Here is a 12,957-nt window from a genome sequence, read left to right as displayed (position 1 = left end):
TAGGAATGAGATCATGTGGTATTTGTCTTTCTGTGCCTTGCTTATATCACTTAGCATAATGACCTCCAGGATCATCTATGTTACCATAAATGGCAGGATTTCATCCTGTTGTATGGCCAAGTGTAAGGAATCTCACCTCCTGATCAGGGGTCTGAAGAAGAAAAAGAAAAGGAAAAATGTACTTGCAGATTTTAGTTCTGAAATACCAACCTTGAGCAAGAACCCACCAACTTCGGCCTGATACCTACCCTCTCTGCCTTCATGAACTGGGTCTAGCTTGGAGCCTTGGTAGGGAAGCAAGCTGAGGAGATAGGAGGACAAGTTGTGGGATGGGGCTGGGTCACAGGTGGAGTGTCTGCAACACCCTCATTAGGATAGAGAAGAATTTTTTCTTACCTGGAACATGGGTTAGGACAATAGAGAGAGAGAGAGAGAGAGAGAGAGAGAGAGAGAGGGATCAAAAAGAGAATTGCGAATATTTGGAGGCTGGTATCTGTGCACCCAACAAGGTGAGGAGAGGCCACATCCTCAAGGGCACGTCTTTGTCCTGAGAAATTAGGTTCTGAAGGCAGTGGAGCTCCTGAGGCTCTTTCAATTAGGTGGCAGGGTGGGGTAGGGTTGGTCAAGGTTCGCAGGGTTTAGGTGTCTCAGAGGACCCTGCAGCCATCTAGGCAAGATTTGGTTTGCCTAAAGAGGTTAGGGTTTAGAGGGTTTGAACAGCTGGCAGCTATAGGAAAGGGAGGGGGTAATGGACCTGAATGGCAAAAGTCAATCTGATTTTTAAAAATTGGGCTGTCTTCCTCTATTGAGGTGTTCATCTGCCTCTCTTAATCCAAGTCATAGAAGCACAGAGCCAGAAGAGGACCTAGAGATCATGTGGCCCAAACCCCACTCTGTTACACATTTAGGGAAAACTGAGGCCCAGTGGAGGGACCTGCCTCAGCCTCATGAGGCATAGGATGAATCTAGAGGTTAAATCTATCTGCCTGTGGCCCTGTATCTGAGGGGTACCTCCTTTCCAGTTCCTGAAAAAGAGCAAGGGTCCCATAGGTGGGAGTGAGTCCAAGTTAGGCCTGGGCATGGGAAGTGGGGAGTTTGATGCTGACCTAAGTCACTGACCTTGCAATGCTATGAAGGTGTTCCCTTGATGCTTCTGCTAAGAATGAGATCCAGACTCCATTTTAAAAGGTCACTTTTCTAGAAAGCCCCCATAGCACTTTAGCTCTGTATAAGGAATAGCAATGAAAAATATGAGTTTGAACTTGTAAAATGACCACCTAGAAATGCAAACTGAGATCTGTTAGAAACTTCCTGAAAAGCAATCTAGGAATTGAAACATGATGGCTGTCTAACTACCCCAAGCTAGAAAAGCCAAGAATTTCAAAGGGATACCTTAGCACCTGTCATGGCAGACTTAGCTTTGGAAAATAAATTCTGAAAGCTAGGTGACCAATGGCAATTGAAGGTACCTGAAATAGTGCTTGGGATGCAAAAACAAATCCAGGCTAGTGTGTGGTTTGTGATGTTAGAAATACTTGTTTTTCGGTGTTATAAAGAAATAGTACTTGAAAATACATTTAATTTTTTAGTAAGGACATTTTTATTTTTTGTAGAAATGGTATATTTGTCAGTAGTTTTGTCATGAGAGTATACTGAACAAAGGAGACAGGGTCATTTATAACCTGACGTGTCCACCTTACTGCTGTGTCTGGTTTTTATTGGCTGGAACAGGACTTTATATTTTATATTTGTTTTGATTGGTTAGTAACTTAGAACTTTTTAAAAGAGGCAAAGACAGAGGAGAACAAAAGAAGGAGGAAGTAACTTGTAGAATGTCCAGAAGGGTAAAAACATCTTTAAATAAGGAAGAGAAACAGGCTATGATCTAATATTTGTTTGGACTAGTATAAGTATGTCAGGGCAAATATTTAGGCTAAACTGTGGGAGCTAAGAACATAAATTATATTGATTTTTTTATTATGGCTAGCAGATATTTAAGAACATTAGCCAGGTCTTTGAATAAATTTTGTTTCTAAAAGAAGTTACTATTTATTCCTAATTAGATGAGGAGGAAAGTCTTTGAAGAGAAACCTCTATTTTACTTTTTATAGTGAGGATTCCAAATAACTCACAAGGTATAAGGCATGTGCAAACATAACTCTTAGAATCCCTGGAGAAGGGCGCTGGCCCACCCAATGGTTTAGTTTCTTGACTACTGTAATTATGTATCCATAATGCATGTTATAGGAAAGGAAAAGAGGTAACCAGGCCCTGGACTATAATACTCTAGATGCGTGTTCAGCATCTGACATGTTTCTTAATAGCAAAGGCCTTGGACACGCTGTAGACTGCTTACTTCTGCTTTAACCTGTTTTACCCCAGGTGTTCCCACCATGCTAGAACATGTCAAAGAGAAGGGAAGCTGGTCCCAGTCTAGACCATGCAGATTTCAGAAGCTGTGTTTGAGTTGACATTGGTGGGAAAAAAAAGCAGATAATAGATTTGGGGTTAAAGAACCTGGACTGGACACTCCAGTCATCATCAGCTGGGTTATCTTGCTAGCCTTCAGTTTTCTCATTTGTCAAACAAGACATTTTTGAAACAAGAGCTACTTCTGCTTCATGGTCATTTTATAATGAAATGCAAAGGCCCTTCAGTCTGAGATTGGTATGGTGTTTGATAGGGTGAACACGAAGACTCAGAAGAAACGTTAGATAGAGAGGGCTCAGGAAATGAGTCTGGCTAGGGAAGTCCCCGTGTATCCTCCTGTATTTGCCGAATTGTGGTGTTTATCTCTTTGCCAAGAGGGGAGATTTTTGTCTAATTCCTCTGAATATGTTCTTTTGATGCTGTGGAGGGCATTATACTCTCAAGTGTATTAACTATTTTTCTTGTCATCATCATGGGTTTCTTTCTTTTTAAATGGACTCTCCTCTCTGTGCTCCTGCATGGTTTTGGTGGTAACATTTTCCTGCTTAGTGAGTGGGTAGCCCTCCTGGCTCACTCTTAGTCTCCTGCCACCCCTGGGAGTGAGGTGGGGTAGGGGGTTGGAGCATGGGATGGGGGAGTATTTCCCTTCTGGCAGGCTGGCTGCCACAGTCATTTGTAAGGCGTGCCAGCTAGCAGGTACCACCAGGAGACTGATCAGACCTGCAGGAGGGCAGCAGGCAGTGTTGCTTGGGGTGCCAGCCATCCCCGAGCTCCCAGGCAGAACACATTATTTATCTGCCCTCAAGCCCTTCCCCATGGGATCCCAGCCATTGTCTTCTGCACAAACCCCTGCTCGCTGCCCCAGGCACTCTCACTCTGGCGAGTCAACAACATCAGCAGTCTTAATGTCTTTCTCTTTCTCATATTCGGGTCCCTGGTTATCTTGTTGATCAAAATAGTTGTTTTCCTGTCTGGCAAAAAGGCAGAAAACACTTTCCTCCAGCCCTAAACGTGGTCATATCCAGAAATGCTTGCAAGATACCTTTTTCACTTTCAGTGCTAGCCTAATAATTCCTCTCTATATTAATATAATTTCCCACTTGAACAGAGCCACGTCTCATAGCACACTCCAACGTCTGCCTTTTGTCAAGGTGCTTCTGTATCTGTCATTGCATTTAACCCTCCAGCCAAAGGCCACCAGAAACACACTTGAGCTGAACAAAGTTGGTTTATTGGCCATTGCAACAAAGGGTAAACGCACCTCATGAGGAACATGGAGAGTGTTGGCAAAAGGGTGTTAGAAAGGACCTCTTATAGGATTTGAGTTTGGTTAGGTGATTTTGGGACTCAAGGACTCAAGGAAGCAGGCCTTTGCTGTGAATTGCATGCTGTTGGGAAAAGGGAAGAAATGGGTCTTAATATGTTTTATCCGGAAGGCAGGAGGAATGGAGCGAGGCGAAGGCCATAATTGGTAAAGAAGCTGCAGTCACTTGTATTAGCCAGGATCAGAGGATGTCTGGTCATTTTTGTGACTTGGAGAACGCTAAGGACTAACTGAGAGTGCCAAGTCAGTCCCTGGCAGGGGCTGCTTTTCTCTTCCCCAGTGATCCCTTTTGGCCAAGGGCAAAGCCAAGCTGCAAAACATGAATCTGTGATATTCGGGTCTTCACCATTGCCAGCATTTTGCTGATTAGGAGGTTGTTCAGAGACTGCAGTCTGTCGTTGGATGAGTTAGTCTCTCCTGCTCCTTTTGTGGCAGGGTGAGTTTTTTAATCTTCTGATGTGACAAAAGCTGCACAGTAGCATTAAAGACTCTGAATAGAAGACACCAGCCAGCTGCAACACAGGCAGTGACCAGAAACAAAGATTGCTATTGGTTCTTATAATAGGCCCTGAAGATAGGAGCCTGGATTATCAACTCCAGACAATGAAAATGTGTCCCAAATCCAGCTGATCTTTTTCTAGAGATCCAGGTGGCTTTTTCTTTTAGCCTACTTCCAGACTGTTCTACTTGAGTCTGTAGTGTCTACATGGCTGCAGCAAGAAAGGTTTGCTGTTGTGTAAATTCCCCTCAGCTAACTAAGACCAAATTAAGGACCATATGATCACCCCTGACAACTGTGGCTTATGCATATACATTTAAACTGGTTGGTTTGGCTTCCAGAGCCAGAAGTTGCATAATTGATGTTGTCTTAGTAGGGACAGGGAGAAGTTTTGGACCATCCCTTCTGGCTGAAGGATCCCTACTGTGGGAATTGCAGTTTGTACACTGTGCACAAAGAAAGAGTTGGTTGTCCCCTTTGACAGTTCTCAGGTAGCCTCTGCTCACCTCTTTTTGAAAGTTTCTGGACATTCTTTTCAGGGAACATGATCTACTAGAGGGGTGGTAATTTTAAATATCTGAAAGTCTCTAAAAATTGTCCTGAAAACAGGAAAAGTTAGTATATGGTATGTGGGTATAAGCCTGATGGCCACAAAAGAAGTAGATTCCCAGTGGGGCACAGACTATATGACTATATTGGGAATGTCATTTATTGCAACATGAGGGATCCAGTTTTTATTATCCCTTCATGGTGGGAAGCTTTCCTGAGTGGAGTTAAACACTTTGGGCGAAGCAGTCAGAAGGGAAGAAATTGACATTACAGCAAGACTATTTCCAATATGAGTTTCCATTTCTGATGGGCTAAGTTTTACTGATAGGGTTGTAAATAACCTAAACAGAAGTATATTCTTGACGTGGGGCCAAAGTCCAATTTTTTAAAAAAATTTAAGTTTGGGATTAATTATAGGAGGGAAACAGAGGACTTTTAGAAGGAAAGCTCCCTTCTAAAATATTTAAAAGAACAGTTATTAAATGTTTGCTGTCAGTCAAACACAGAGCAGTGGCTATGGGCTGAGACAAACACATTGGAGAATTATTTTTTCTTCAGGGGCAGAAGACCTCAGGAGGTCAAAAATAACAGGATCAAGATGAGGGAGGTAGGGTAAGAAATCCTCTAGTTAGATGATAAGAGAGTGTCAAAGTGCAACAATAGATAGGATTGGTGGCAAAGAGAAAAAGGGTGCTGAAGCATCAAAATTAATCTCATTGCATAGTTTTGGGTAGAGATTGTCCAATTCCGTAGTTGGCGGCTTGTCTGTTGTCTTAGCTAAGCAGAAGCTGTCCTTGTCTGCAGCCAGCTTTTTTGTTTTGTTGTTGAGAATTTGTAAAAATCGTGTTTGAAGTTTTCCAGTGGAATGGAATGTCTGGTAGTTAGGTGATGTCTGTCTGCAGTGGGAAGCCCGAACCCAAGGCTCAGCACCTTGGTGTTTTTCTGCTGTGTTAGTTGTTGACAGTGCCTGGTAAGGGCTTTTGGGTGTCGAAGGCTGTCTTTGTCTAGATATCAAAACACCAGAACACCCAACCTCCAGGCTTTCAGGTGGCACAGAAGCTGCTTAAGTGGAGCCTAGCAGAGGTGATGACACAATAGTCTCAGATGTCTGTACTGTTACTGAGTCCAGGGTCCCGCTTCCAGGCAGCAAGGGCTTTAGCTGTACCTTGCTAAAACTTCTGTCTCTGTTAACGCCCTGTCCCCTACATGCCTGTAGTGGAACAAAGTTGGGATTGTTGACTCATTGCTATGAAAGAGACACACTTCCTGGGAAATGTGGGGCATCTGGACATGCTTTTTCTTTCTCATAGGTCCTCCTTGACTGCATTGGAAGCTCTGTGGGGGCTGAGCCTATGTCTAGTGCTCCTCGTTGAGTTTAGTGTTGCACCTAATTTAGAGTGGGTGGCGGAGGAACTCAGTGAGTGCCCTTGAAATGATCAGCTGGACAAGGCCTGGAGGGATAGTAACCTTTTAAAGTGGAACTGGTTTCCTAGGAGAGCCAAGGCACATGTCACTCCTTTCTCTAGAGGCCAAAGAGGCCGAAGGAAAAAGGCATAGGAAGACATGAACACAGACTCGTCTATAGGAAAAATGAGGCTGAGGACTCCAGAGAGAGCAAATCCCAAACTAGAACCCTGCTTCCTGTGGTTTTCTAAGAATGGGAAGTTGAACTCCTATACCTGGACTGAGTTGGGAACATGCAACTACATGGGGTGGGAGCTCCTAGAGATGCAGCCAAGGCCCTGAGAAGGAAGGAGAGTCATAGTGCTGCCTTTTCCTGAGCAATTGATGTTATAAAAAGAATCATTACAGTTCTCTCACCTGTGTTTCTTGCTCCCCCCTCCCCCCATCTTCCTTTTCTTCCATTAGGGGTGGGCTGGAGACAGGGTGGGAGCAAGGAGGAGAATGGTTAGGCAGGGGAATGAGGCATGGGGCAGGGAGAGGGGTCTCGGGCTAGTGGGAGAGGGCCTCGGCCAATAACCCTGCAAGATCCCTGAACCTGTACTGATCCTCCCTCACCTTCCAAAGATCCAGGCAAGCAGTCCCTTGGCCTGAGAGGACTACATTCCCCCAACCCTGGAAGACACTCACCAGGCCCGCGGGCTCCATTCTCTCCCCAGGCAATAGTCTCTCTCCTCTCCGACTTCTCTCCCTCCAAATCCATCTTCATTATTAACTATAAACGTCAGAATCAGAGCCCTTGGAAGGCTGTGCCTAGATAAATAATGCTTTTCATATTTAATTTACGAGTAGTTCTGCAGCCTCTTTGGGGTGTGCTGGGTTAATTAAGAGCTGAATTAGAAGAAGCCGCTTTTCCCCAAGGAGACTCGATTAAAGTCTTCCTGACAAAAAAAGGAAAAGGAAAAGGTGGTCGAAGAAGGAGGTCCATTGGGGAAAGTGTCCCTTCATTATGACCTTTAACTAGGGCTGGCTGGAGGGGAGCTCAGGGCGCTGTAGTTTAGCTTTTCCTTCCCTTTTTGTTTGGAGCGTCCCCCAGTCTCTGAATCAGGCAGTTCAAGTTAGTGGGAGGTGCAGGATACTGACTGTGATGAGCCAGGGCAGCTTTTCTGGCTGGCAAGGGGTTAACGCTTTCCGCCTCTCACCCCTGTAGCTTGGAAACTAGTCCGGAGCTGCTGGGAGTGGGATGTGGTTCTGGGGAGATGATGCCAGCCTCAGGCCAGGCTCGTGGCTCTGAAATTCCAACCCCCATTCCAAGTGCTTCTATCCCCAAACTCAGCCCCCTTTGCTGGGGCTGAGCAGGTGAGGGCTTCTTGGCTTGTGTATCCTGAGCATTTCATGGGCAGTCAATGAAATTTACCTTCCCATGGGAGAGACTTTTCTCTTCCTCTGCCCTCCACTGGGAAGGCTGGGGCCCTGCTGCCAGGAGAGGCTGCTGTGGCAAGGGGTAGGGGGAGAAGGCTCTGCCCTGTTGGGGCTGCATCCCCTCCTCTTTTTCTTCCACCCCCCAACCCACACACACTTCAGGAGATCAGACTGCAGAACTTGAACAATGTGGTCTGCCCCTCCTGTTTATAGCTGAGGAGGCCAAGATCCTAAAGGGGGAAAGCAACATGGCCAAGGTCCTAGAGTGAGTTGGTTCAGAGATGGGGCCAGAATTCTAGGCTGCTGCCACCAACACACTTAAATGTGCATGTGTGTACAAACACATACATCTCCAATCCAACAGCCCCCATATGCTCCTGTGGGGAGAGACGCACCCACTGCATCACAAGCTGACTCTCTGTTCCTTGTTCATGCTCACCCATAAGGCAAGAGCTTCTCCACACCCTGGAGACCCTGTTGCATACATTGTTGTCACACAGAGTCTGTTGACAGACCTGTTGCAGAGTGATAGATTCTGTCAGCACCTGCTATGTCCCCAGACAGAATCACTAAGTGCCAGACGATCTCAGGTTGTCTCCTGACCTCATTGCCACATGCTTACCCTCCTCACATAAGCCTAGGGCTGGGAAGCAATATCTCTGCTGAACATGAATGTGCACATTTATACACACACACGCACACACACACAGCACAGGCCTCAAGTACTCAAGTCCAGACTGCTCTTTTGTTGTACAGAAAGGATACAGCACTCTTTATGACTGTCCCTCAGCATCCCAAGCAGTAATTGTAGACTGCACCAAGTCTACAGTGAACTTTCTTACTCTTGTGAAAAATAGCGAAAGTGACATGCACGGTGTCAGAGGGAAGCCCTCAGCGGAAGCAGGTGCAGGATGTCCCTCTAATCCGTGGGACTCTCGAGAGGGGGCTGCTTGCTCCCTCATCCATCAGACTAGACTTTATGACATCCTGTACTTTGAGGACCTGTTTCCCTCAAAGGGATCCTATAGCAACCCAGGCTGAAACCTGGCCTCTCCCTCTTTACCCTTGGTCACCTCTGCATCCTGTAGGAAGGGGCTGAGGCCTAAGTTGATGGGGCAGAAACTCTTGTGGGGAAGGAAGCTTTTCCAATTCTCTTTCTGCGTGGACCTCGTTTCTGATTTTTGGCTCATCTCTAGTTTCATAGCCAAATTCATGCCTGTGGACAGATTTGGCTACTTTGGCTAGCCCCATGGAGCTTCTCCTGGAGCAGTTTTGTCCTTTCCCTTTGACACCTTTCAGATATTCACCTGGACAGATCCCCTGTGGGGATGGGCTGCCCAAAGCAGTGTGGGGGCCTTCAGTTCTGACTTTAGGGCTGGGTGGGCCTTGGGGGTCATGTTGCCCAACCCCCTCATGCACGGAAGAAAAGGAGAGACTTGGCTGATGCCACACAGCAGGTCCAGGGCAGACCAGACTCAGACCCAGGGCCCTAGGCACCATCAGCATCTTCTTTCTGTCACTATGCTCCACACATCATAGGGCTTTCTCTGCCATTGCCTTTGCTTTTTTGCCATTGCTTCATCTTTATCTTTCATAGGTGGATCTTGCTTTATACAATGGATAAGTTCTTTTAAAAGTTATTTGTAAAGAGAGCTTTTGTACATCAAATCATGTTGTGGTATACGTTGTCTTTTCAAGGGGAGGTTGCCTTTTATGCCCCTTGGTTTACAGAGCTGTAGTTTAAAAGGGGTCTACGTATTTGCTTTGATCCTCAAAAGAATCCTGGGAGACGGCAGTTGGGCAGCACAGGTTTCATTATTGAGATGAGGACATGGAGGCCCAGAGAGACAAAGTGCCCCCTGAGAGAGTAGAAGAGCTAAGTCTTAGCCCTGTCTACCCCACTAGATCACCGAATCCCACATGAGACTAAAAACTCAGTTTGGAATCTGGATCACCTTGGTCTAGTTCTCTGTTTTCCAAAGCATGTTCCCTAGCACTTTGGTCCTGAGAAATCCACTGTGATGAAAGGGTTCCTTGGTCACATAAGGCTGGGCTGCGCCACATGCTCTGCCTCCCTCTTGGAGATTCGCCATGCGTATTAGCACATTAAAGGCCCTGGGAAGTCTGCTATGGAAATCTGCTTACCTCTGCTTTTCCCAAACTTATTGGACCACAGAACCCTTTATTCCTGGTGACTTGTTCTGTGGAACACACAGTGGGAAATATTGATCTCAGCGGGAAACATTGATCTCAGTGGGAAACATTGATCTAGTTTGTTTTCTGTGTTAGTCTGGATTTTTGCCCTCTTATGTTGAAGTGGGGGCTACTAACACCCATCTTCCTGTCACCCCCAGGCTTCTCCCCTTCTCTCCCCTGGGCATCCACAGTTTCCCTTACACCCCAGGGCACAAGAATCTGTAGTTGTTTTCTCTGGCTCCTTAAGCAGAAGGGACAAGAGTAGGGAGGGCTCATGGTGAGGTCGGGCAGAGTGACCTGGACAAGCTTAGTAGGCTAAGCAACACAAGACCAAGCGATGCTGGAGCATGGAGGAGGAAGTGGAGCTTGTACATACATGGAGGAGAGGCCCAGGTCAAGTCAACTGGCCCTGGGTGTCTGTTTGGGGTCTCTGGTTCCACCCATGGATCCCAGCACCCCCATGGCCCCCTTGCTCCTGCACACCCTCCCAGTGTCCGCCATCATTCTCTTTGGAGCCATTATTCATGTTTCAGGGGATGTCCCCTCATACCACTGCCATTCTTCTGACTGCCTGGATTTTTGTCTTTCACTTCTATCTTGAAGGAACCTGGCTGAGGTTCTGTGAGAAGCCAGGCCTTCCCATCACCTCCTTTCCTTTCGAGTATACTGTCTGCACCCTCCACCTGGGGTGGGGCCCATCTATGTTGTTGGGTTCTTCGAGGCTCAGTTCAGGGTTGATGGCGATGGTACCTTACTCAGAATAGGGCCTTCCAGGCACCTATTGGATGAAGGGGGCAATGCTCACTTTGTGCCCTCTCACAGTGTAGCCCTCAGAAGTGCCCCCAGTACTGACAATGCCATCTGTCCTTAGAGTGGAGGACAGGATGGGTTGCCCATCTTTTTCCACGCACTCTTTATGTGCTACCTAAAGGCCAAAGAGCCCTCTGCTGTAACCCCTCATTGACCTGTCAGCCCTTAAAGTCAACCAGGGCACCGAAGGCTTCTTAAGGCAACGTCTGCCTGGGCCCTTCCCTGGTGGCCCACAGTTGGCTTTTTGAAGCCAAGGGCAGGAGTTTCCTTTCCGCTGATGACTTATGATGGTCTGTTTCCTCCCAGCCTAGTGCCTTCACAGCCCCGTAGCCTGTCTTCTAAACCCTCGGCCAGGCCATTCATTACAATGTGTAAGGGGGCAGCGAAGTGTTCTAGATGTGAGGTCAGACAGTTTGGCCTTGGGGAAGTCATGTTTTGTCTCTCTGAGCCCCAGTTTATGAATCCTCCAAATAAGGGAGACCAGTGCCTTCCTCACAGGGATCTAGTGAGGGTGAAATGCAGTCATAGATCCAAAAATACTTTATAAACTTTAATAAAATGCATGCAGCTTGTCAATTCCCCCACCTGAGAGTGGAGGAACTCACCTTCCAGGGTGTCAATGCAAATGAAATGATGGCACTTAGCCCATAATAGGTGCTTGGTAAAAGAGAACTTCTTTCCATCGTGGTTACAAAATCTTCCTCCCACTTGATGTCAGTTACTAGAAAACCTGGGTCTCAGGCACATTGGCCTCTGACCTGAGTCAACCTCAAGCTTCTGTGCATCTCTGCTTAAAAGCATAATAAGATTCCCTCCCTGTTTCTGTCCTTCCAAAGCAAGAAATGATTACATTACCTCTAGCATGGTGCCTGCCGCATAATCAGTGATTCGTATGCTTCCCTGCCCCCTTGGACAATGGCCTCCATGGAGGAGGGATTGGGACTCTTTGCTGAGTGCTTCCTGTGTGTTGAGTGAATGAGTGATCCAGCGAAAAAACCAGGGTCTGCTTTGTAAACTAAAAGTAAAATCCTGAGCTCCCCCACTGATCGAATGGACCCCTGCCTTGGCCAAGGGGGCCCCTAGAAAAACCTTACCACTTTGTTCCTCACCATGACAGGACAGGAGGTCAGATACATCTGGTTGTATCCCCCACCTTTTCAAACTTTAGACACAACAACTGACAAGCATTAATGTGAAAATAGAGATCGTAAGACTGACAGAATCATTTTGGAAATAATATACCAAATTATAAACAGGACCCCAGGCAAGGGTAAGTCACACACTATCTATACTTAAAGAATAAGCTATGTTCTAATGGCCACGAGGTTTTTTTCTCTAGCAGCTAAACAAGCACTGGCCTCAAGATAAGCAATATTACGACAATTACAGCTCATCACAGTTCACAGATGTTGACTGCCTGAGCCGCTGTTCCACCAGCCATAGCTACAGCTTTGATTGGGCAAGAGGCTGATTTTGGTAGCGTTCTCCTGATAAGTTGGCCACCGACCATGGACCGACTCTGGTCAGTTTACAGAGATTGTGCATTCATGCACCTTTGTGTCCTGAAAAGCCCCTTTGACCTATAGGGCCTAATGGGAATACACTTCCATATTAAATCTCCACCCCAATGCAAACAGAGGTCATTTGTAATATACATGTTTGTTCAATATACATGTGTCAGGGCCACCTTCATGAATACTCACAGCTCTTTCTCTTCCTGTAAACTGATGAATGTTTATGTTCAGCCAACCCTTTCAGCATAAAGCTCCTACCCCAGCCTCTCCTTCTTTGAAATACCTGTCTCTGGTCTTGGCTGGAGGCTGTGCTTCTGAGCCCGTGGGAAGGCCACCTTGCAGTTGTAATCCTTTACAAGAAATAAAGTCACCTTCTCCTTTTCCAAATTTACAGCTGTTATTATTACATATTTTTATATTATTATATATTTTTAATTAACAGTTTTCTACCTGGACACCTTCTCAATTTGTCACTCGTGGGACTCTCAGAGCCATACCTGAGGCTCTTCTCAAGGATGCAGTCTGCGGACCTGCAGGCCCAGTGGGGTTTTTCTTGAGCCTTCTTCCTGCCTCACAGCCAAGTCTCACTGTCTGGGCCCTGTCCTCCCTCCCTCCCCACCGCCTCCTGCTAGAGTCTGTTTCTGTGCAAAGGGTGTGGCTCGAGGTCAGCACAGGGCAGCCAGCCCCCTCTGCAGGCAGCCCTTGGGGGTAAGGGCGAGGCAGTAGACTCACTGTAAGTTGGGGCCTCAGTGGGTTAGGGCCACTCACGTTGGCATTTGGATCTGCACCTTTTCTCTGTCCCTGAAGAGAAG

General features: G+C 46.6%; 1 non-coding gene across 1 annotated transcript; it reads left to right on the top strand.

Moving 5' to 3' along the window:
* Nucleotides 1-258: 258 nt before the first annotated feature.
* Nucleotides 259-331, top strand: MIR7154 (microRNA 7154). The gene has a single exon (NR_106976.1). It is a non-coding gene; the product is annotated as a microRNA 7154 (primary transcript).
* The last annotated feature ends 12,626 nt before the right edge of the window (nt 332-12,957 follow it).

This window comes from Homo sapiens, chromosome 11 (genome assembly GCF_000001405.40).
Source record: "Homo sapiens chromosome 11, GRCh38.p14 Primary Assembly".
Lineage (NCBI taxonomy): Eukaryota > Metazoa > Chordata > Mammalia > Primates > Hominidae > Homo > Homo sapiens.
Note: the sequence above shows the minus strand (reverse complement) of the source record. Positions and strands in the feature narration are given on the sequence as shown.